General features: G+C 40.1%; 1 long non-coding RNA gene across 1 annotated transcript in view; it reads right to left on the minus strand.

The window, feature by feature from the left end:
* Positions 1-26,053, minus strand: part of LOC107984257 (uncharacterized) — a 125,247-nt gene that overhangs the window by 46,146 nt on the left and 53,048 nt on the right. Inside the window, exons 4-6 of the long non-coding RNA XR_007062253.1 lie at positions 20,604-23,510; positions 19,353-19,449; positions 18,704-18,791 (exon numbers count right to left, since the gene is read on the minus strand). This is a non-coding gene — a long non-coding RNA (uncharacterized LOC107984257). The remainder of the gene's footprint in view (positions 1-18,703; positions 18,792-19,352; positions 19,450-20,603; positions 23,511-26,053) is intronic.

The raw sequence follows: 26,053 nt of genomic DNA on the forward strand, positions 1-26,053 counted from the left end.
CAAATGGAAAACAAAAAAAGGCAAGGGTTGCATACCTAGTCTCTGATAAAACAGACTTTAAACCAACAAAGATCAAAAGAGACAAAGAAGGCCATTACATAATGGTAAAGGGATCAATTCAACAGGAAGAGCTAACTATCCTAAATATATATGCACCTAATACAGGAGCACCCAGATTCATAAAGCAAGTCCTGAGTGACCCACAAAGAGACTTAGACTCCCACACATTAATAATAGGAGACTTTAACACCCCACTGTCAACAGTAGACAGATCAACGAGACAGAAAGTTAATAATGATACCCAGGAATTGAACTCAACTCTGCACCAAGCGGACCTAATAGACATCTACAGAACTCCCCACCCCAAATCAACAGAATATACATTTTTTCCTGCACCACACCACACCTATACCAAAATTGACCACATACTTGGAAGTAAAGCTCTTCTCAGCGAATGTAAAAGAACAGAAATTATAACAAACTATCTCTCAGACCACAGTGCAATCAAATTAGGACTCAGAATTAAGAAACTCACTCAAAACCGCTCAAATACATGGAAACTGAACAACCTGCTCCTGAATGACTACTGGGTACATAACGAAATGAAGGCAGAAATAAAGATGTTCTTTGAAACCAACGAGAACAAAGACACAACATAACAGAATCTCTGGGACACATTCAAAGCAGTGTGTAGAGGGAAATTTATAGCACTAAATGCTCACAAGAGAAAGCAGGAAAGATCCAAAATTGACACCCTAACATCACAATTAAAAGAACTAGAAAAGCAAGAGCAAACACATTCAAAAGCTAGCAGAAGGCAAGAAATAACTAAAATCAGAGCAGAATAGAAGGAAATAGAGACACAAAAAACCCTTCAAAAAATTAAGGAATCCAGGAGCTGATTTTTTGAAAGGATCAACAAAATTGATAGACCACTAGCAAGACTAAAAAAAAAAAAAAAGAGAGAAAAATCAAATCGATGCAATAAAAAATGATAAAGGGGATATCACCACCAATCCCACAGAAACACAAACTACCATCAGAGAATACTACAAACACCTCTACGCAAATAAACTAGAAAATCTAGAAGAAACGGATAAATTCCTCGACACATACACTCTCCCAAGACTAAACCAGGAAGAAGTTGAATCTCTGAATATAACAATAACAGGAGCTGAAATTGTGGCAATAATCAATAGCTTACCAACCAAAAAGAGTCCAGGACCAGAAGGATTCACAGCCAAATTCTACCAGAGGTACAAGGAGGAACTGGTACCATTCCTTCTGAAACTATTCCAATCAATAGAAAAAGAGGGAATCCTCCCTAACTCATTTGATGAGGCCAGCATCATGCTGATACCAGAGCCGGGCAGAGACACAACCAAAAAAGAGAGTTTTAGACCAATATCCTTGATGAACATTGATGCAAAAATCCTCAATAAAATACTGGCAAACTGAATCCAGCAGCACATCAAAAAGCTTATCCACCATGATCAAGTGGGCTTCATCCCTGGGATGCAAGGCTGGTTCAATATATGCAAATCAATAAATGTAATCCAGCATATAAACAGAACCAAAGACAAAAACCACATGATTATCTCAATAGATGCAGAAAAGGACTTTGACAAAATTCAACAACCCTTCATGCTAAAAACTCTCAATAAATTAGGTACTGATGGGACGTATTTCAAAATAATAAGAGCTATCTATGACAAACACACAGCCAATATCATACTGAATGGGCACAAACTGGAAGCATTCCCTTTGAAAACTGGCACAAGACAGGGATGCCCTCTCTCACCACTCCTATTCAACATAGTGTTGGAAGTTCTGCCCAGGGCAATCAGGCAGGAGAAGGAAATAAAGGGTATTCAATCAGGAAAAGAGGAAGTCAAATTGTCCCTGTTTGCAGACGACATGCTTGTATATCTAGAAAACCCCATTGTCTCAGCCCAAAATCTCCTTAAGCTGATAAGCAACTTCAGCAAAGTCTCAGGATACAAAATCAATGTACAAAAATCACAAGCATTCTTATACACCAACAACAGACAAACAGAGAGCCAAATCATGAGTGAACTCCCATTCACAACTGCTTCAAAGAGAATAAAATACCTAGGAATCCAACTTACAAGGGATGTGAAGGACCTCTTCAAGGAGAACTACAAACCACTGCTCAAGGAAATAAAAGAGGATACAAACAAATGGAAGAACATTCCATGCTCATGGGTAGGAAGAATCAATATCGTGAAAATGGCCATACTGCCCAAGGTAATTTACAGATTCAATGCCATCTCCATCAAGCTACACATGACTTTCTTCACAGAATTGGAAAAAACTACTTTAAAGTTCATATGGAACCAAAAAAGAGCCCACATCGCCAAGTCAATCCTAAGCCAAAAGAACAAAGCTGGAGGCATCACACTACCTGACTTCAAACTATACTACAAGGCTACAGTAACCAAAACAGCATGGTACTGGTACCAAAACAGAGATATAGATCAATGGAACAGAACAGAGCCCTCAGAAATAACACTGCATATCTACAACTATCTCATCTTTGACAAAGCTGAGAAAAACAAGAAATGGGGAAAGGATTCCCTATTTAATAAATGGTGCTGGGAAAACTGGCTAGCCATATGTAGAAAGCTGAAACTGGATCCCTTCCTTACACCTTATACAAAAATCAATTCAAGATGGATTAAAGACTTAAACGTTAGACCTAAAACCATAAAAACCCTAGAAGAAAACCTAGGCAGTACCATTCAGGACATAGGCATGGGCAAGGACTTCATGTCTAAAACACCAAAAGCAATGGCAACAAAAGCCAAAATTGACAAATGGGATCTAATTAAACTAAAGAGCTTCTGCACAGCAAAAGAAACCACCATCAGAGTGAACAGGCAACCTACAAAATGGGAGAAAATTTTCTCAACCTACTCCTCTGACAAAGGGCTAATATCCAGAATCTACAATGAACTCAAACAAATTTACAAGAAAAAAACAAACAACCCCATCAAAAAGTGGACGAAGGACATGAACAGACACTTCTCAAAAGAAGACATTTATGCAGCCAAAAAACACATGAAAAAATGCTCACCATCACTGGCCATCAGAGAAATGCCAATCAAAACCACAATGAGATACCATCTCACACCAGTTAGAATGGCAATCATTAAAAAGTCAGGAAACAACAGGTGCTGGAGACGATGTGGAGAAATAGGAACACCTTTACACTGTTGGTGGGACTGTAAACTAGTTCAACCACTGTGGAAGTCAGTGTGGCGATTCCTCAGGGATCTAGAACTAGAAATACCATTTGACCCAGCCATCCCATTACTGGGTATATACCCAAAGGACTATAAATCATGCTGCTATAAAGACACATGCACACGTATGTTTATTGCGGCATTATTCACAATAGCAAAGACTTGGAACCAAGCCAAATGTCCAACAATGATAGACTAGATTAAGAAAATGTGGCACATATACACCATGGAATACTACGCAGCCATAAAAAATGATGAGTTCATGTCCTTTGTAGGGACATGGATGAAACTGGAAATCATCATTCTCAGTAAACTATCGCAAGAACAAAAAACCAAACACCGCATATTCTCACTCATACTTGGGAACTGAACAATGAGAACACATGGACACAGGAAGGGGAACATCACACTCTGGGGACTGTTGTGGGTTGGGGGAAGGAGGGAGGGATAGCACTGGGAGATATACCTAATGCTAGATGACGAGTTAGTGGGTGCAGCGCACCAGCATGGCCCATGTATACATATGTAACTAACCTGCACATTGTGCACATGTACCCTAAAACTTAAGGTATAATAATAAATAAATAAATAAATAAATTTTAAAAAAAAGTTTTTCTCCCTAAAAAAAACAAAATTCAAAAACAGAGACTGTGCAATTGGAATTAAAGGCCCTAAAGCTGCTGCTCCTCTATGGTCAAGGTTGCGACACATTTGAATAACTCTGAAGGAGCCTCTGTCATAATAAAAAATATGTGATTAATTAAAAAAAAAAAGAAACTCACTCAAAACCGCTCAACTACATGGAAACTGAACAACCTGCTCCTGAATTACTACTGGGTACATAACGAAATGAAGGCAGAAATAAAGATGTTCTTTGAAACCAGTGAGAACAAAGACACAACATACCAGAATCTCTGGGACACATTCAAAGCAGTGTGTAGAGGGTAATTTATAGCACTAAATGCTCACAAGAGAAAGCAGGAAAGATCTAAAATTGACACCCTAACATCACAATTAAAAGAACTAGAGAAGCAAGAGCAATCACATTCAAAAGCTAGCAGAAGGCAAGAAATAACTAAGATCAGAGCAGAACTGAAGGAGATACAGACACAAAAAACCCTTCAAGAAATCAATGAATCCAGGAGCTGGTTTTTTGAAAAGATCAACAAAATTGATAGTCTTCTAGCAAGACTAATAAAGACTAATAAAGAAGAAAGAGAAGAATCAAATACACGCAATAAAAAATGATAAAGGGGATATCACCAATGATCCCACAGAAATACATAGTGCCATCAGAGAACACTATAAACACCTCTACGCAAATAAACTTGAAAATCTAGAAGAAATGGATAAATTCATCCACACATACACCCTCCCAAGACTAAACCAGGAAGAAGTTGAATCTCTGAATAGAACAATAGCAGGCTCTGAAATGGAGGCAATAATTAATAGCTTACCAACCAAAAAAAGTCCAGGACCAGATGGATTCACAGCCGAATTCTACCAGAGGTACAAGGAGGAACTGGTACCATTCCTTCTGAAACTATTCCAATCAATAGAAAAAAGGGGAATCCTCCCTAACTCATTTGATGAGGCCAGCATCATCCTGATAGCAAAGCCTGGCAGAGACACAACAAAAAAAGAGAATTTTAGACCAATATCCCTGAAGAAAATCGATGCAAAAATCCTCAATATAATACTGGCAAACCGAATCCAGCAGCACGTCAAGAAGCTTATCCACCATGATCAAGTGGGCTACATCCCTGGGATGCAAGGCTGGTTCAACATACACAAATCAATAAACGTAATCCAGCATGTAAACAGAACCAAAGACATAAACCACATGATTATCTCAATAGATGCAGAAAAGGACTTTGACAAAATTCAACAACCCTTCATGCTAAAAACTCTCAATAAATTAGGTATTGATGGGAAGTATCTCAAAATAATAAGAGCTATCTATGACAAACACACAGCCAATATCATACTGAATGGGCAAAAACTGGATGCATTCCCTTTGAAAACTGGCACAAGACAGGGATGCCCTCTCTCACCACTCCTGTTCAACAAAGTGTTGGAAGTTCTGCCCAGGGCAATCAGGCAGGAGAAGGTAATAAAGGGGATTCAATTAGGAAAAGAGGAAGTCAAATTGTCCCTGTTTGCAGATGACATGATTGTATAGCTAGAAAACCCCATCATCTCAGCCCAAAATCTCCTTAAGCTGATAGGCACCTTCAGCAAAGTCTCAGGATACAAAATCAATGTGCAAAAATCACAAGCATTCTTATACACCAATAACAGAGAAACAGAGAGCCAAATCATGAGTGAACTCCCATTCAAAATTGCTTCAAAGAGAATAAAATACCTAGGAATCCAACTTACAAGGGATGTGAAGGACCTCTTCAAGGAGAACTACAAACCACTGCTCAAGGAAATAAAAGAGGATACAAACAAATGGAAGAACATTCCATGCTCATGGGTAGGAAGAATCAATATCGTGAAAATGGCCATACTGCCCAAGGTAATTTACAGATTCAATGCCATCCCCATCAAGCTACACATGACTTTCTTCACAGAATTGGAAAAAACTACTTTAAAGTTCATATGGAACCAAAAAAGAGCCCACATTGCCAAGTCAATCCTCAGCCAAAAGAACAAAGCTGGAGGCATCACGCTACCTGACTTCAAACTATACTACAAGGCTACAGTAACCAAAACAGCATGGTACTGGTACCAAAACAGAGATATAGACCAATGGAACAGACCAGAGCCCTCAGAAATAATGCCACATATCTACAACTATCTCATCTTTGACAAACCTGAGAAAAACAAGCAATGGGAAAAGGATTCCCTATTTGATAAATGGTGCTGGGAAAACTGGCTAGCCATATGTAGAAAGCTGAAACTGGATCCCTTCCTTACACCTTATACAAAAATTAATTCAAGATGGATTAAAGACTTAAATGTTAGACCTAAAACCTTAAAAACCCTAGAAGAAAACCTAGGCAATACCACTCAGGACATAGGCATGGGCAAGGACTTCATGTCTAAAACACCAAAAACAATGGCAACAAAAGCCAAAATTGACAAATGGGATCTAATTAAAATAAAGAGCTTCTGCACAGCAAAAGAAACTACCATCAGAGTGAACAGGCAACCTACAGAATGGGAGAAAATTTTTGCAATCTGCTCATCTGACAAAGGGCTAATAACCAGAATCTACAAAGAACTCAAACAAATTTACAAGAAAAAAAAAAACCCCTTCAAAAAGTGGGCAAAGGATGTGAACAGACACTTCTCAAAAGAAGACATTTATGCAGCCAAAAAACACATGAAAAAAATGCTCGTCATCACTGGCCATCAGAGAAATGCAAATCAAAACCACAATGAGATATCATCTCACACCAGTTAGAATGGTGATCATTAAAAAATCAGGAAACAATAGGTGCTGGAGAGGATGTGGAGAAATAGGAACACTTTTACACTGTTGGTAGGACTGTAAACTAGTTCAACCGTTGTGGTAGTCAGTGTGGCCGTTCCTCAGGGATCTAGAACTAGAAATACCATTTGACCCAGCCATCCCATTACTGGGTATACACGCAAAGGATGATAAAACATACTGCTATAAAGACACATGCACACGTACGTTTATTGCGGCACTATACCCAATAGCAAAGACTTGGAACCAAGCCAAATGTCCAACAATGATAGACTGGATTAAGAAAATGTGGCACATATACACCCCATGGAATACTATGCAGCCATAAAAAATGATGAGTTCATGCCTTTGTAGGGACATGGATGAAGCTGGAAACCATCATTCTCAGCAAACTATCACAAGGACAAAAAACCAAACACCGCATGTTCTCACTCATAGGTGGGAACTGAACAATGAGAACACATGGACACAGGAAGGGAAACATCACACACTGGGGCCTGTCGTGGGGTGGGGGGAGTGGGGAGGGATAGCATTAGGAGGTATACCTAATGTAAATGACGAATTAATGGGTGCAGCACACCAACATGGCACATGTATGCATATGTAACAATCCTGCACTTTGTGCCCATGTACCCTAAAACTTAAAGTATAATTTTTTTAAAAAGCTTAAGGAAAACAAAAAACAAACAAAAAAAAGATACAGGAGATATCACTAGTGATCCCACAGAAATACAAACTACCATCATAGAATACTACAAACACCTCTACACAAACAAACTAGAAAATCTAGAATAAATGCACAAATTTCTGGACACATACACCCTCTCAAGTCTTAACCAGGAAGAAGTTGAATCCCTGAATACAGCAATAACAAGTTCTGAAATTGAGGCAGTAATTAATTGCCTACCAACCAAAAAAAGTCCAGGACCAGACGGATTCACAGCCAAATTCTATCAGAGGTACACCAGAGGACCTGGTACCATTCCTTCTGAAACTATTCCAAACAATAGAATAAGAGAAAATCCTCCCTAACTGATTTTATGAGGCCAGTATCATCCTGATACTAAAGCCGAGCAGAGAAACAACAACAAAAAAGAAAATTTCAGGCCAGTATCCCTGATCAACATAGATGCAAAAATCCTCAATAAAATACTGGCAAATTGAATCCAGCAGCACATCAACAAGCCTATCCACTACAATCAAGTCAGCTTCATGCCTGGGATTCAAGGCTGGATCAACATACAATCAACAACAAATCAATAAACATAATCCATCACATAAACAGAACCAATGACAAAAGCCACGTGATTATCTCATAGTTGCAGAAAAGGCCTTTGACAAAATTCAACAGTCCTTCATGCTAACAACTCTCAATAAGCTAAGTATTGATGGAATGTATCTCAAAATAATAAGAGCTATTTATGACAAACCCACAGCCAATATCATACTGAATAGGCAAAAACTAGAAGCATTCCCTTTGAAAACCGGCACAGGACAAGGATGCCCTCTCTCACCACTCCTACTCAATAAAGTATTGGAAGCTCTACCCAGGGCAATCAGGCAAGAGAAATAAATAAAGGGTATTCAAACAGGAAAAGAGGAAGTCAAATTGTCTGTTTGCAGATGACATGATTGTATATTTAGAAAACCCCATCATCTCAGCCCAAAATCTCCTTAAGCTGATAAGCAACTTTAGCAAAGTCTCAGGATACAACATCAATGTGCAAAAATTACAAGCATTCCTATATACCAATAACGGGCAAACAGGGAGCCAAATCATGAGTGAACTCCCATTCACAGTTGCTACAAAGAGAAAAAAACACTTAGGAATACAACTTGCAAGGGATGTGAAGGACCTCTTCGAGGAGAACTATCGAGTAGAACTAGAAACCACTTCTCCAGGTAGTAAGAGAGGACAGAAATAAATGGAAAAACATTCCATGCTCATGGATAGGAAGAATCAATATCATGAAAATGGCCATACTGCCCAAAGTGATTTGTAGATTCAATGCTATCCCCATCAAACTATCAATGACTTTCTTCACAGGATTGGAAAAAACTACTTTAAATTTCATATGGAACCAAAAAAGAGCCCAGACTGTAGCCAGGACAATCGTAAGCAAAAAGAACAAAGCCGGAGGCATCATGCTGTTTTCAAACTATACTACAAAGCTACAGTAACCAAAAGAGCATGGTGTTGGTACCAAAATAGATACATAGACTAATGGAACAGAACAGAGGCCTCAGAAATAACACCACACATCTACAACCATTTACAAAAACAAGCAATGGTGGAAAGGATTCTCTATTTAATAAATGGTGTTGGGAAAACTGGCTAGCCTTATGCAGAAAACTGAAACTGGACCCCTTCCCTATATCTTATACAAAAATTAACTCAAGATGGATTAAAGACTTAAATGTAAGACCGAAACCATAAAAACCCTAGAAGAAAACCTAGGCAATACCATTCAGGACATAGGCATGATCAAAGACTTCATGACTAAAACACCAAAAGCAATGGCAACAAAAGCCAAAACTGACAAATGGGATCGAATTAAACTAAAGGGGTTCTGCACAGCAAAAGAAACTATCATCAGAGTGAACAGGCAGCCTACAGAATGGGAAAAAATGTTTGCAATCTATCTATCTGACAAAGGGCTGATATCCAGAATCTATAAAGAACTTAAACAAATTTACAATAAAAAAGCAAACAACCCCATCAAAAAGTGGGTGAAGGATATGAAGAGACGCTTCTCAAAAGAAGACATTTATGCAGCCAACAAACATGAAAAAAAGCTCATCATCACTAGTCATTAGAGAAATGCAAATCAAAACCACAATGAGATACTGTCTCACACCAGTTAGAATCGTGATCACTAAAAAGTCAGGAAACAACACATGCTGGAGAGGATGTGGAGAAATAGGAATGCCTTTACACTGTTGGTAGGAGTGTAAATTAGTTCAACCATTGTGGAAGACAGTGTGGTGTTTCTTCAAGGATCTTGAACCAGAAATACCATTTGACCTAGCAATCCCATTATTGAATATATAACCAAAGGATTATAAATCATTCTATAAGACATCTGTACACATATGTTTATTGTGGCACTATTTACAATAGCAAAGACTTGGAACCAACCCAAATGCCCATCAATGATAGACTGGACAAAGAAAATGTGGCACATATAGACCGTGGAATACTATGCAGCCATTAAAAAGGATGAGTTCATGTCCTTTGCAGGGACATGGATGAAGCTGGAAACCATCATTTTCAGCAAACTATCACAAAGACAGAAAACCAAACACTGCATGTTCTCACTCATAGGTGGGAATTGAACAATGAGAACACTTGGACAGAGGGTGAGGAACATCACACACTGGGGCCTGTGGTGGGGTGGGGGGCAGGAGGAGGGATAGCATTAGGAGAAATACGTAAAGTAAATGACGAGTTAATGGGTGGAGCAAACCAACATGGCACATGTATACCTATGTAACAAGCCTGCACGTTGTGCATATGTACCCTAGAACTTAAAGTATAACAACAACAACAACAACAAAATACCCTCACAGAGATACCCAGTAATAACCTTTCACCAGCTATCTGGGCATGCTTTAGTCAAGTCAAGCTGACATAAAATTAATCATCACAGTAGGCCTAGTATAAGTATAAGTACATGATAAAAGTAGATTGTAAGAAAAATCGCATGGGTATCATCAAGACAGAGACACTTCTCAGGACCACAGACTCTGTCTATCAATCTTCTAACCTACCTGGCAATCCACCTGAGAACATGGCTGCTAGTGTCTGCACCATACTCTTCCCATCTACACTGAAAATTTCGACTACTGGTCGTGAGACCAAAATTAATGTTCTGCCTTCTTTTATTGTTTTGTCTTGGGGTCTCCTCTTCAGGGTGAAAGTGATTTCATAATTTCAAAGTAAATTGATGTAGAATTACAAAAGTGGGAATGAAAATGACAAATTAGTAGCCAATGCTGTGCTTGGCATGCATATATTATTCTTAGGGAATTTATATTAGTTAAGTAATGAAGTAAAGACAAGAGACCTATGTGTAATCGTAAAATTTCTATTAAATTATTTGCATGCCTAGTTCAGTTATTTTAACAATCCATATTTTCTTACCTTTTAACCAAATTATTGGAGGTAATTGTATATTTATATGCAGTTATCAGAAGTAATACACAGAAATCTCATGTACTCTTTGCCCAGTCCCTCTCAATAACATCTTGCAAAAATATACTATAATATCACTATCAGGACATTTAAATTGATAGTGAAGACATAGAACAATTCCATCACCACGAGGATTCCTTATGCAGCCCCTTTATAGCCACACCCATGCTCCCCCCTTCACCCTCCACCCTATTCTTAGACCCTAGAAAATTCATAATCTGTTTCCACTTCTATAATTTTGTCACTTAAGGAATGTCATATAAATGGAAACATACAGTATCTAATCTCTTGGATAATATTTTTTACTCATCATAATTCTTTGTGATTCCTCAAAGTTGTTGCCTGTATCAATAATTCGTTACTTTTCATTGGTCAGTATGGTATACATGTACCACAATTAGTTTAACCATTCACTCACTGAAGAACCTCTAGGTTGTTTCTGAGTTTGAGCTATTACAAATAAACATGCTATAAACAGGGTGGGCTGGAAGAAGAGATCTCCTTAGTATGAAAAGCTGGAAGCTCAGCTGGAAAGCAAACAAAAAGTCTCAGGTGCTTATATCTCAAGCCCTGATGCGGAAAGGGGCATGATTCTCCTCTCAGGACAATGAAGTGAATTAACTGAAACTAATTAAAACTGAATTCTAACACCAAAGGTACCCAACTTATGATTAATGCAAAGAGTTTAGCCTTTCATTCAGCCTGACAGAGAAAAGGGCATTGCAAATGTTCAGTTTTGGTCTATCATTGATGGACATTTGGGTTGGTTCCAAGTCTTTGCTATTGTGAATAGTGCTGCAATAAACATACGTGTGCATGTGTCTTTCTAGTAGTATGATTTATAATCCTTTGGTTGTATATCCAGTAATGGGATCGCTGGGTCAAATGGTATTTCTAGCTCTAGATCCCTTAGGAGTCGCCACACTGTCTTCCACAATGGTTGAATTAATTTACACTTTCACCAACAGTGTAAAAGTGTTCTTATTAAATAGAGAATCTTTTCCCCATTGCTTGTGTGTGTCAGGTTTGTAAAAGATCAGATGGTTGTAGCTGTGTGGTGTTATTTCTGAGGCCTCCATTCTGTACCATTGCTCTATATATCTGTTTTGGTACCAGTACCATGCTGTTTTGGTTACTGTAGCCTTGTAGTATAGTTTGAAGTCAGGTAGCATGATACCTCCCAGTTTGTTTCTTTTGCTTAGGATTGACTTGGCTATGCGGGCTCTTTTTTGGTTCTATATGAACTTTAAAGTAGTTTTTTCCCAATCCTGTAAAGAAAGGCAGTGAGTGGTACCTTGATGGGGATGCCATTGAATCTATAAATTACCTTGTGCAGTATGGCCATTTTCACAATATTGATTCTTCCTACCCATGAGCATGGAATGTTCTTTCATTTTTTTGTGTCCTCTTTTATTTCTTTGAGCAGTGGTTTGTAGTTCTCCTTGAAGAGGTCCTTCACATCCCTTGTAAGTTGGATTCCTAGGTATTTTATTCTCTTCGTAGCTATTGTGAATGGGAGTTCACTCATGATTTGGCTCGCTGTTTGTCTGTTATTGGTGTATAGGAATGCTTGTGATTTTTGCATATTGATTTTGTATCCTGAGACTTTGCTTATTAGCTTAGGGGGATTTGGGGCTGAAATGATAGGGTTTTTAAATATACAATCATGTCATCTGCAAACAGGGACAATTTGACTTCCTCTTTTCCTAATTGAATACCCTTTATTTCTTTCTCTTGCCTGATTGCTCTGGCCAGAACTTCTAACACTATGTTGAATAGGAGTGGTGAGAGAGGGCATCCCTGTCTTGTGCCAGTTTTCAAAGGGAATGAATCCAGTTTTTGCCCATTCAGTATGATATTGGCTGTGGGTTTGTCATAAACAGCTCATATTATTTGGAGATGCATTCCATCAATACCTAGTTTATTGAGAGTTTTTAGCATGAAATGGTGTTGAATTTTGTCAAAGGCCTTTTCTGCATCTATTGAGATAATCATGTGGTTTTTGTCGATGGTTCTGTTTATGTGATGGATTATGTTCACTGATTTGTGTATGTTGATCCAGCCTTGAATCCCAGGGATGAAGCCCACTTGATCATGCGGGATAAGCTTGTTGATGTGCTGCTGGATTCAATTTGCTAGTATTGTATTGAGGATTTTCACATTCATGGTCATCAGGGATATTGGTCTAAAATTCTCTTTTTTTTATTGTGTCTCTGCCAGGCTTTGATATCAGGATGATGCTGGTCTCATAAAATGAGTTAGGGAGGGTTCCCTCTTTTCTATTGATTGGAATAGTTTCCAAAGGAATGGTACCAACTCCTCTTTGTACCTCTGGTAGAATTCGGCTGTTAATCCATCTGGTGCTGGGCTCTTTTGGGTTGGTAGGATATTAATAATTGCCTCAATTTCAGAGCCTGTTATTGGTCTATTCAGAAATTCAACTTCTTCCTGGTTTAGTCTGGGGAGGATGTTTATGTCCAGGAATTTATCCATTTCTTCTAGATTTTCTAGTTTATTTGTGTAGAGGTGTTTACAGTGTTCTCTGATGGCAATATGTATTTCTGTGGGATCAGTGGTGATATCCCCCTTATGATTTTTTATTGCATCTATTTGATTCTTCTCTTTTTTCTTCTTTATTAGTCTTGCTAGCAGTCTGTCCATTCTGTTGATCTTTTCAAAAAACCAGCTCCTGGATTCATTGATTTTTTTGAAGGGATTATTGTGTCTCTCTCTCCTTCAGTTCTGCTCTGATCTTAGTTATTTCTTGCCTTCTGCTATCTTTTGAATTTGTTAGCTCTTACTTCTCTTGTTCTTTTTTATTTTTACATATAAGATTTTATTTTTTTATTTTTTATTTTTATTATACTTTAAGTTTTAGGGTACACGTGCACAACATGCAGGTTTGTTACGTATGTATAAATGTGGCATGTTGGTGTGCCGCACCCATTAACTCGCCATTTACATTAGGTATATCTCCTAATGCTATCCCTCCCCCTCCCCCCACCCCACAACAGGCCCCATTGTGTGATGTTCCCCTTCCTGTGTCCATGTGTTTTCATTGATCAATTCCCACCTATGAGTGAGAACATGTGGTGTTTGGCTTTTTGTCCTTGCGATAGATTGCAGAGAATGATGGCTTGCAGCTTCATCCATGTCCCTACAAAGGACATGAACTCATCATTTTTTATGGCTGCATAGTATTCCATGGTGTATATGTGCCACATTTTCTTAATCCAGTCTATCATTTATGGACATCTGGGTTGGTTCCAAGTCTCCTCTTCAAGGAGAACTACAAACCACTACTCAACGAAATAAAAGAGGACGCAAACAAATGGAAGAACATTCCATGCTCATGCACAGGAAGAATCAATGTCGTGAAAATGGCCATACTGCCCAAGGTAATTTATAGATTCAATGCCATCCCCATCAAGCTACCAATGACTTTCTTCACAGAATTGAGAAAAAAACTACTTTAAAGTTCATATGGAACCAAACAACAGCCCGCATTGCCAAGTCAATCATAAGCCAAAAGAACAAAGCTGGAGGCATCATGCTACCTGACTTCAAACTATACTACAAGGCTACAGTAACCAAAACAAACAGCATGGTACTGGTACCAAAACAGCATGGTACTGGTACCAAAACAGAGATACAGACCAATGCAACAGAACAGAGCCCTCAGAAAGAATACCACACATCCACAACCATGTGATCTTTGACAAACCTGACAAAAACAAGCAATGGGGAAAGGATTCCCTATTTAATAAATGGTTCTGGGAAAACTGGCTAGCCATATGTAGAAAGCTGAAACTGGATCCCTTCCTTATACCTTACACAAAAATTAATTCAAGATGGATTCAAGACTTAAATGTTAGACCTAAAACCATAAAAGTCCTAGAAGAAAACCTAGGCAATACCATTCAGGACATAGGCATGGACAAGGACTTCATGTCTAAGACACCAAAAGCAATGGCAACAAAAGCCAAAATTGACAAATGGGATCTAATTAAATTAAAGAGTTTCTGCACAGCAAAAGAAACTACCATCAGAGTGAACAGGCAACCTAAAGAATAGGAGAAAAATTTTGCAATCTACTCATCTGACAAAGGGCTAATATTCAGAACCTACAAAGAACCTAAACAAATTTACAAGAAAAAAACAACCCCATCAAAAAGTGGGCATATGAACAGACACTTCTCAAAAGAAGACGTTTATGCAGCCAAAAGACACATGAAAAAATGCTCATCATCACTGGCCATCAGAGAAATGCAAATCAAAACCACAGTGAGATACCATCTCACACCAGTTAGAATGGCAATCATTAAAAAGTCAGGAAACAACAGGTGCTGGAGAGGATGTGGAGAAATAGGAACACTTTTACACTGTTGGTGGGACTGTAAACTAGTTCAACCATTGTGGAAGTCAGTGTGGTGATTCCTCAAGGATCTAGAACTAGAAATACCATTTGACCCAGCCATCCCATTACTGGGTATATACCCAAAGTATTATAAATCATGCTGCTATAAAGACACATGCACATGTATGTTTATTGCAGTACTATTCACAATAGCAAAGAATTGGAACCAACCCAAGCCCATCAGTGATAGAATGGATTAAGAAAATGTGGCACATATACAACATGGAATACTATGCAGCCATAAAAAATGATGAGTTCGTGTCCTTTATAGGGACATGGATGAAGCTGGAAACCAGCATTCTGAGCAAACTATCTCAAGGACAGAAAACCAAACACCGTGTGTTCTCACTCATAGGTGGGAATTGAACAATGAGAACGCTTGGACACAGGATGGGGTACATCACACACCAGAGCCTGTCATGGGGTGGGGGGAGGGATAGCATTAGAAGATATACCTAATGTAAATGACGAGTTAATGGGTGCAGCACACCAACATGGCACATGTATACATATGTAACAAACCAGCACGTTGTGCACATGTACCCTAGAACTTATGGTATAATAATAAAAAATAAAAAAAATAAATACACAAATAAATAAAATAAATAAATAAGTGGGTAAATCTCTGTTCGAGGCTCTCAGCTCTGAAGGCTGTGAGACTCCTGATTTCCCACTCCACACCTCAAAAAAAAAAAAAAAACAGAACCAATGACAAAAACCACATGGTTATCTCAACAGATGCAGAAAAGGCCTTCAATAAAATTCAACACCACTTCATGCTAAAAACTCTCAATAAGCTGGGTATTGATGGAACATATCTCAAAATAATATGAGTTATTTATGACAAACCCACAGCCAATATCATACAGAATGGGTAAAAACTGGAAGCATTCCCTTTGAAAATCAGCACAAGACAAGGATGTCCTCTCTCATCACTCCTATTCAACATAGTATTGGAAGTTCTCTCCAGGGCAATCGGCCAAGAGAAAGCAATACAGGATATTGAAATAAGAAGAGAGGAAGTCAAATTGTCCCTGTTTGCAGATGACATGACTGTGTATTTAGAAAATCCCATCGTTACAGCCCAAAACCTCCTTAAGCTGATAAACAGCTTCAGCAAAGTCTCAGGAAACAAAATCAATGTGCAAAAATCACAAGCATTCCTATACACCAAACAGAGAGCCAAATCATGAGTCAACTCCCATTCACAATTGCTACTAAGAGAACAAAATACTTAGGAATACAACTTACAAGGGATGTGAAGGACCTCTTCAAGAAGATCTACAAACCACTGCTCAAGGAAATAAGAGAGGACACAAACAAACGGAAAAACATTCCATGTTCATGGATAGAATCAATATCGTGAAAATGGCCATACTGTCCAATGTAATTTATAGATTCAATGCCATCCCCATCAAGCTACCACTGCCTTTCTTCACAGAACTGGAAAAAACTACTTTAAACTTCATATGGAACCAAAAAACGGCCCGCATATCCAACACAATCATGGGCAAGAAGAACAAAGCTGGAGGCATCATTCTACCTGACTTCAAACTATACTACAAGGCTACAGTAACCAAAACAGCATGGTACCAAAACAGATATATACACCAATGGAACAGAACAGAGGCCTCAGAAATAACACCACACAGCTACAACCATCTGATCTTTGACAAACCTGACACACACAAGCAATGGGGAAGGGATGCCCTATTTAATAAATGGTGTTGGGAAAACTGGCTAGCCATATGCACAAAACTGAAACTGGACCCCTTCCTTACACCTTTTACAAAAATCAACTCAAGATGGATCAAAGACTTAAACGTAAGACCTAGGACCATAAAAATCCTAGAAGAAAACCTGGGCAATACCATTCAGGACATAGGCATGGGAAAAGACTTCATGTCTAAAACACCAAAAGCAATGGCAACAAAAGCCAAAATTGACAAATGGAATCTAATTAAACTAAAGAGCTTTTGCTATGCAAAAGCAAATATCACCAGAGTGAACGGGCAACCTACAGAATGGGAGAAAAATTTTGCAATCTACTCATCTGACAAAGGGCTAATATTCAGAATCTACAAAGAACCTAAACAAATTTACAAGAAAAAAACAACCCCATCAAAAAGTTGGCAAAGGATATGAACAGACATTTCTCAAAAGAAGACATTTATGCAGCCAAAAGACACATGAAAAAATGCTCATCATCACTGGCCATCAGAGAAATGCAATTCAAAACCACAATGAGATACCATCTCAAACCAGTTAGAATGGTGATCATTAAATAATCAGGAAACAACAGGTGCTGGAGAGGATGTGGAGAAATAGGAACACTTTTACACTGTTGGTGGGAATGTAAATTAGTTCAACCATTGTGGAAGACAGTGCAGCGATTCCTCAAGGATCTAGAACCAGAAATACCATTTGACCCAGCAACCCCATTACTGGGCATATACCCAAAGGATTATAAATCATTCTATGATAAAGACACATGCACACGTATGTTTATTGCAGCACTATTCACAATAGCAAAGACTTGGAACCAACCCAAATGCCCATCAATGATAGACTGAAGAAAATGTGGCACATATAGACCATGGAATACTATGCAGTCATAAAAAAGGATGAGTTCATGTCCTTTGCAGGGACATGGATGAAGCTGGAAACCATCATTCTCAGCAAACTATCACAAGATCAGAAAACCAAACACTGCATGTTCTCACTCGTAAGTGGGGGTTGAACAATGAGAACACATTGACACAAGGAGGGGAACATCACACCCCAGGGCCTGTTGGGGGGTGGGGAGCTAGGGGAGGGATAACGTTAGGAAAAATACCTAATGTAGGTGACAGGTTGATGGGTGCAGCAAACCACCATGGCAGGTGTATACCTATGTAACAAAACTGCACATTCTGCGCAGGTAACCCAGAACTTACAGTGTAATAATAAAAATAAAATTGATATCACCAGCAAAAAAAAAAGTTCCTAGAAATTCATCAAACCATGTGGCACAAAACTCAAATGACATTTCACTTTGTTTTGATTTGTTTTGTTTGAGACAAGGTGTCACTCTGTCACCCAGGCTGAAGTGCGGTGGGGTGATCTGGGCTCACTGCAGGCTCTAACTCCTGGGCCCAAGTGATTCTCTCAACTCAGTCTCTCCAGTATCTGAGGCTACAGGCAGGCGCCACTAGGCCCAACTAATTTTTTTATGAAATTTTTTGCAAAGATGTCCAGGCTGGTCTTGAACTCCTGGACTCAAATGATCTGCCTACCTCAGCCCTCCAAAGTGCTGGGATTACAGGCTTGAACTGTGTAATTTCACGTGGCATGACACAGCACAATGATGAAAAGGAAGAAACCCTGTGGGTCCAGCGTATACTCACATGGGTGGATTGATGGCTGGGAAACCCAAGCAGGAGGAGCCAAAACAGCAGCCACTGGACCCGCATGTCCTGGTTTTCTCAGGGCCCCCTGAGGAGGCCAGGACAGAGGTGAGGGTGGTTTAGGGCTAAGGGAGGAAAGGGGATGGGGACTGGGGGTGGGACTGCAGTTGGGGAGGGGGAGGGGAGGGAAAGGGATTGGGAGGGGAGGGAAGGCAAGGGGGACTGTGGGGGGCCTGGAGGAGCAGGGCGGTGGGGGGCTGGAGAAGAAGGAGGAGGAAGAAAAAGAAGGAACCCTGGGAAAGGATCCAGTTAAAACTAAGTCTTCAAGTGCTGGTGGAAGGTTCAGCTATAGGTCAGTGAAAAAGTCTATCAGCAAAACAGCAGGAGGAGTGGGGCAGGGGAGCAGGAGGCTCAGGAGCAGTTGGAGGGAGACCAGGGCTCTGGTTTCTACCAAACCTTCTCCTGTCTGGGCGCTACCTTAGCAACCCTGGGGCTTTATACTTCCTCTCCACCAATCCTCGGTCCTGGTACCATAGTGCCTCACAGTGGGCATTCCATGTGATGTCCACATTCTTCCAACACCCCCTCCCCCACCTGAACCCCTGATGCGCCATCCCAAAGACAGGTCCTCTCTGGAAACTTCGCAGACCTTCTGACTTCTCATCCTCCCCAACCAGCTCCCTGTCCCTGCTTCTGGGCTGATCTTTCCTTCCTGAGCTCCAAGTGTTCCTCATGGTCAGTCTTGGCTGCAAAACATGAAAAACAAATGATGGCAGGATGGCAGGAAGAACCTCATACACAAGCAGAGTGGGAGGCTCCACAGCCCCCTCTCAGCAATTCATATACTAAGCAACAAAACATCAGTAGGATGTAGAAGGTCCAAATAGTAAACCATCTCCATCACATTCATGTAGTCATCTATCCATCACCCTTGTATCTTGGGAATAAATGTTGGCGATATATTCATTTTAAGCACATATGGTACATTTACAAAAATTAACCTGACTTATTTTGTTCATCAAGCAAATCTCAATATATTTCAGAGGAATCAAATCACGTTTCTGATCATATAATTGTGCTAGAAGTCAACGATAAAAAGCTAACCAAAAATTCTTATATGCTTGGAAATTCAATGTGCCCTTATAAGTAAGATATAAACATAAGGAAGAACCCAAAATGAAACAAGACTGCCTTTGCACTCAATGATAGAATCATAATATGGCAATAAAACATCTCCCTCTGGCCTGGGAATTCCACTTTGTGGCACAAGGTTGTGTGGTCCCAAATCATTTCTAACCCACCTAGACATTTTAACATCTGAAATGGGGTGATGATGTCACTTATCTATGTCATCTTACTGCCTGTGACCATGGGCTTTAAATTTTGAACCCTAATGAGGGGAGGAAAACCAAGTTGACTCTCATGATTGACTTCCCAGGTATGACCAAGGAATCTGTGCATTTCAAGTGACGAAGTTCATCAGCTTCTCTCCTGGGAGATTTGGCCACAATACCCAGAGGGCCAGGCAGCACCAGGAGTAATGGGTGGGGAGTACCAAGCAATTGGGCAGGACCTAGGGGCCCGGTGACCAGGACAGACCCCCACTGGCCATCACCTTTCCTGGTCCTGTCTTCAGCTAAACCTCCCAAAGGCCTTCTTCTGCCTGATTGCACAGAGTGTGCCCAAACTCACCCAGGCTTCTAGCAGCTTAAAACCACTTCTTTAAATCCCTTTACCATTTATTATGACATAAAGTTATTATAAACAGGAAATATTCCATTGAGGCTACAAATAGAAAGCCAATGCCTTTACCATAAATGGAAAGAAATCCTAAGAAACAAGCATGACAAAAACAAAACACAGATAACAAAACAATGAAATTATATTTGTATACTGTCACCTGCATAAAGACCCCCAGTTTCAGTTGTCTTGCTTGTAAAAGGAGAGACCAAGAGGGGGTTGAAGTCAGATCTGCACAAAAGTGAACGGCACAGATTACCATAATGTCCGTGAAGGGTTGCTGGGGTCACCTTGATTATAGCCCAAGTAGACATAAGGAAAGGAGGGCAATATGAGCAGAGTTTGGGGCCTCAAACAGGGTAGGTTATTTATGCAGCCCAGGAAAGGCTCCCCAAAGCCAGTGTCAACCTCACAGGCAGGTCCCTCATGGAGGCAAGGCCAAGCACCTTGGATTTGAGACCAGCTGTGCTGCTGACCAGCTGTGTGACCCTGGGCTGGTTTCCTTCCATACAATGGGAGTGCCAATGGCTACATGCAAAGACTGTCTGAGGACAGGAGGAAGAAATCTGTTGAGCACCTGTGTACCTGAGTGTCAGCACCTCCCAAGGGCATCTGTCCTTCCAGAGCTGGCACCCTGGAAAGTTCTCAGATGCTAAAGGCAGTCATGATGATAACAGCAGTAAATCATCATTTACTGCTGATGAGGGAGGGCCAGTGGGCAGGACTCCTAGGTTCTGGATAGGAATGAAAGTCTGGGCACGCCTGGGGACAGCTGAGTGAGTCCTGTATCAGCAGTACAGGCAGGCACAGAGGCAGTAGATTCATCAGAGGTGGCAGGTGTGGGATGGTCTGATAAGCAAGCATAGTCACCAAGCTGGCTGACCACTGCCCCCTCACAGAAGATGCCCTGTCCCTTGCCTCACATTCCAGCAGGGCAGAGGCTGGCACCTGGGGCCTCACAGAGCATCCCTCTGAGACTTCTGTGTCCTGGCCAAAAAATGGGCACTTGCGTCACCCAGCACTGACAGAACAAGGAGGAAGAATCAGGACCCAGGATGTTTTGGGGAAGTGTTTAGCACAGAAAAATGCTCAGAATACAAACACGACACAGGGGAACTGTTCATGTGGGAGCCAATATTTTATAACCTACAGCCCTAATCTGAGCACTCTCACCTGTGCAATCTGAAAGAAACAGGGGACTTGCAGGAAGGATAGTGCCTGGATTTAACTTGAAGTAAAATGTTGGAATTTTCACACTCCTGATATCCTTCCAAATCAACTCTTTCAATGCTCCCATCCTCACCACTATCATGTGGGGTAACTGAGGCAGTCAGGGATTTACTGACTCAATGTCATTCAGTCATTTCTGAGTTCACTGCTGACTACATCTGACCAAACTTGAAGTTCCCGTTTAATCTTGCCAGTGACGGTTTTTGGCAGCTCTGGGACAAACTCCACCTGGCTGAAGATAAAGCAAATCTGTGGTGACTTAGTCCTGCTGTCATTTCCTACCAATCCCCTACTCTCCTCCTCTGCCCCTCCACAGTCTCCCACACAGGCTAACACCATATGGTGGCCTTAATGGTGTCCACTGAGTATTTCAGCTTCTCCACGTGGGCCGTTTAAGTTGGGTGTAGCCATGTGATTTGCTTTGACCCAAAAGTGAGTGGAAGCGAAGCATGTCACCTTGAGGCAGAAGAGTTGGGAGCCATTGAGACTGGACACCCTCTTCTCTATCTCCGAGAGCACCTGACAGGTTCCACATGGAGGCTGCTCCTTTACCCTGGCAGCAGGATAAGAAGATGTGGTGCACAGGGCCCAGGAGAGCCATGATGGACGTGCAGCATGAGCAGGAAAACAACCTCCATTGTTTAAGACTGTTTGTGACCCACAGTGGTATCTAGCCCATCCTAGTATGCATGCACCATCTATTCCACACTCTGTTAAGCAGACTAGCCTACCATCAGAACATGAACTGCTCGTCAGACACACATAGGTTTCAGTTACAGCTCTTCCTCTTATTGACTGCAACCTCAGGCATTTAACTTTCAATCTCTGAGCCTGTTTCACCTCTGTAACATGAGTTGGCTATACTATCTCACATTGTGGAGAGGATTAAATAAAATAAAAATGCACACAGAGCACTGAGCCCAGGGCCTGGCACACACAGTGAGTACTCAATCAACGTTAACCATGTAACTTCATAATGTGTATTGACTGTCAATATTTAGACAATGCCGCAAAGTACTACAAAAAAGGAAATGTTAACTATTTTTCAAATGTATTCTTCCAAACTTTATTTTCAAACAGATAGGATGAAACTATGTAAATTCTTTCATAGCCAGTGTTTTTCTCTTAATAGTATATTGCTAAAATATTTTTATCTCAAAAATAAGATTGTGTTTAAGATTATCATTTTAAATTACAAGTAATGCTCAATTTAATGAATAATTTAATTATTACTATTGAACTTTTTGTAGATTGCACACAGCATTTAAAACAAATGAAAGAGAATTAAAAATAAGAATGTATTACATGTTATAAAATAACTATGTTTTGTTAATTCTATTATTCATATAAGCACATATATATGCAATATGGAAGGTATTTTTATTGTAATGTTTAAAAATAGTTTAGAAGCTGCTTATTTGGATTTCCCTTTTTGAATTTTGCAGGATTATAACTTTTTAAGTACTGTTGGGCACTTGTCTGGTTGTTTTTCTTTAGCTTAACATGCCAGCAATGATTCCTTTTGGGTTTCTGACACAAGACAGTGGTTTTCATCCACCCCATCCCTAAGCCACTCAGATGGAATGAAAAAGGAGGAAAAGGCCAGTACTGTGACTGCCTAAGCTTCCCCCAGCATGGCCACGCTATGAGACACAGGGCAGCTGAAAGTCAGAAACTGCTCAAGGGCACCAGGCCCCATCTGTCTGTGCTCACTCACCTTCCTTTGGTACTTGCATGGGCCTGTCACTGACTTTATGTGCTGCTATAGCTCTTTGGTGAGCTGGCCCTGGTCATGGGACAGGAACTGTGGAGTCAGGACATTAGGGGGCTTCACCACCTGCAGAATGGGAACAGAGGCACATAATGAGTGCCAGCCTATTAGATAATTTTATTTTTTTTCCCCTTTTTTTATTATACCTTAAGTTTTAGGGTACATGTGCACAACGTGCAGGTTTGTTACATACGTATACATGTGCCATGTTGGTGTGCTGCACCCAACAACTCGTCATTTAACATTAGCTATATCTCCTAATGCTATCTATCCCTCCCTCCTCCCCCACCCCACAACAGGCCCTGGTGTGTGATGTTCCCCTTCCTGTATCCATGTGTTCTCATTGTTCAATTCCCACCTATGAGTGAGAATATGCGGTGTTTGGTTTTTTGTCCTTGTGATAGTTTGCTGAGAATGATAGTTTCCGGCTTCATCCAAGTCCCTACAAAGGACATGAACTCATCATTTTTTATGGCTGCATAGTATTCCATGGTGTCTATGTGCCACATTTTCTTAATCCAGTCTATCATAGTTGGACATTTGGGTTGGTTCCAAGTCTTTGCTATTGTGAATAGTGCTGCTATAAACATACATGTGCATGTGTTTTTATAGCAGCATGATTTATAATCCTTTGGGTATATACCAGTAATGGGATGGCTGGGTCAAATGGTATTTCTAGTTCAAGATCCCTGAGGAATCGCCACACTGACTTCCACAATGGTTGAACTAGTTTATAGTCCCACCAACAGTGTAAAAGTGTTCCTATTTCTCCACATCCTCTCCAGCACCTGTTGTTTCCTGACTTTTTAATGATTGCCATTCTAACTGGTGTGAGATGGTATCTCACTGTGGTTTTGATTTGCATTTCTCTGATGGCCAGTGATGATGAGCATTTTTTCATGTGTCTTTTGGCTGCATAAATGTCTTCTCTTGAGAAGTGTCTGTTCATATCCTTTGCCCACTTTTTGATGGGGTTGTTTGTTTTTTTCTTGTAGATTTGTTTGAGTTCATTGTAAATTCTGGATATTAGCCCTTTGTCAGATGAGTAGATTGCAAAAATTTTCTCCCATTCTGTAGGTTGCCTGTTCACTCTCATAGTAGTTTCTTTTGCTGTGCAGAAGCTCTTTAGTTTAATTAGATCCCATTTGTCAATTTTGGCTTTTGTTGCCATTGCTTTTGGTGTTTTAGACATGAAGTCCTTGTCCATGCCTATGTCCTGAATGGTATTGCCTAGGTTTTCTTCTAGGGTTTTTATGGTTTTATGTCTAACATTTAAGTCTTTGATCCATCTTGGATTAATTTTTGTATAAGGTGTAAGGAAGGGATCCAGTTTCAGCTTCCTACATATGGCTAGCCAGTTTTCCCAGCACCATTTATCAAATAGGGAATCCTTTCCCCATTGCTTGTTTTGTCAGGTTTGTCAAAGATCAGATGGTTGTAGATATGCGGCATTATTTCTGAGGGCTCTGTTCTGTTCCATTGGTCTATCCGTTTTGGTACCAGTACCATGCTGTTTTGGTTACTGTAGCCTTGTAGTATAGTTTGAAGTCAGGTAGCGTGATGCCTCCAGCTTTGTTCTTTTGGCTTAGGATTGACTTGGCAATGTGGGCGCATTTTGGTTCCATATGAACTTTAAAGTAGTTTTTTCCAATTCTGTGAAGAAAGTCATTGGTAGCTTAATGGGGATGGCATTGAATCTATAAATTACCTTGGGCAGTATGGCCATTTTCACGTTATTGATTCTTCCTACCCATGAGCATGGAATGTTCTTCCATTTGTTTGTATCCTCTTTTATTTCCTTGAGCAGTGGTTTGTAGTTCTCCTTGAAGTGGTCCTTCACATCCCTTGTAAGTTGGATTCCTAGGTATTTTATTCTCTTTGAAGCAGTTGTGAATGGGAGTTCACTCATGATTTGGCTCTCTGTTTGCCTGTTATTGGTGTATAAGAATGCTTGTGATTTTTGCACATTGATTTTGTATCCTGAGACTTTGCTGAAGGTGCCTATCAGCTTAAGGAGATTTTGGGCTGAGATGATGGGGTTTTCTAGCTATACAATCATGTCATCTGCAAACAGGGACAATTTGACTTCCTCTTTTCCTAATTGAATCCCCTTTATTTCCTTCTCCTGCCTGATTGCCTTGGCCAGAACTTCCAACACTATGTTGAATAGGAGTGGTGAGAGAGGGCATCCCTGTCTTGTGCCAGTTTTCAAAGGGAATGCTTCCAGTTTTTGCCCATTCATTATGATATTGGCTGTGTGTTTGTCATAGATAAACTCTTATTATTTTGAGATATGTCCCATCAATACCTAATTTATTGAGAGTTTTTAGCATGAAGGGTCGTTGTATTTTGTCAAAGGCCTTTTCTGCATCTATTGAGATAATCATACGGTTTTTGTCATTGGTTCTGTTTATATGCTGGATTATGTTTATTGATTTGCTTAAAAGAAAATGTTTGTTGAATGAGTGGAAAAACAAGGTGATGTTTGAGTCTACAGTGCTCAAAAGCATGGGGGCTTCAGAAAAGAACAAGATCAATTTCACATCCCTGTACTTCAAATTTCTACTTCATGCCATGCAAAATTACTTTACCCCTCTTAACCTCAATTT

Source organism: Homo sapiens, chromosome 10 (genome assembly GCF_000001405.40).
Source record: "Homo sapiens chromosome 10, GRCh38.p14 Primary Assembly".
NCBI classification, from domain to species: Eukaryota; Metazoa; Chordata; class Mammalia; order Primates; family Hominidae; genus Homo; species Homo sapiens.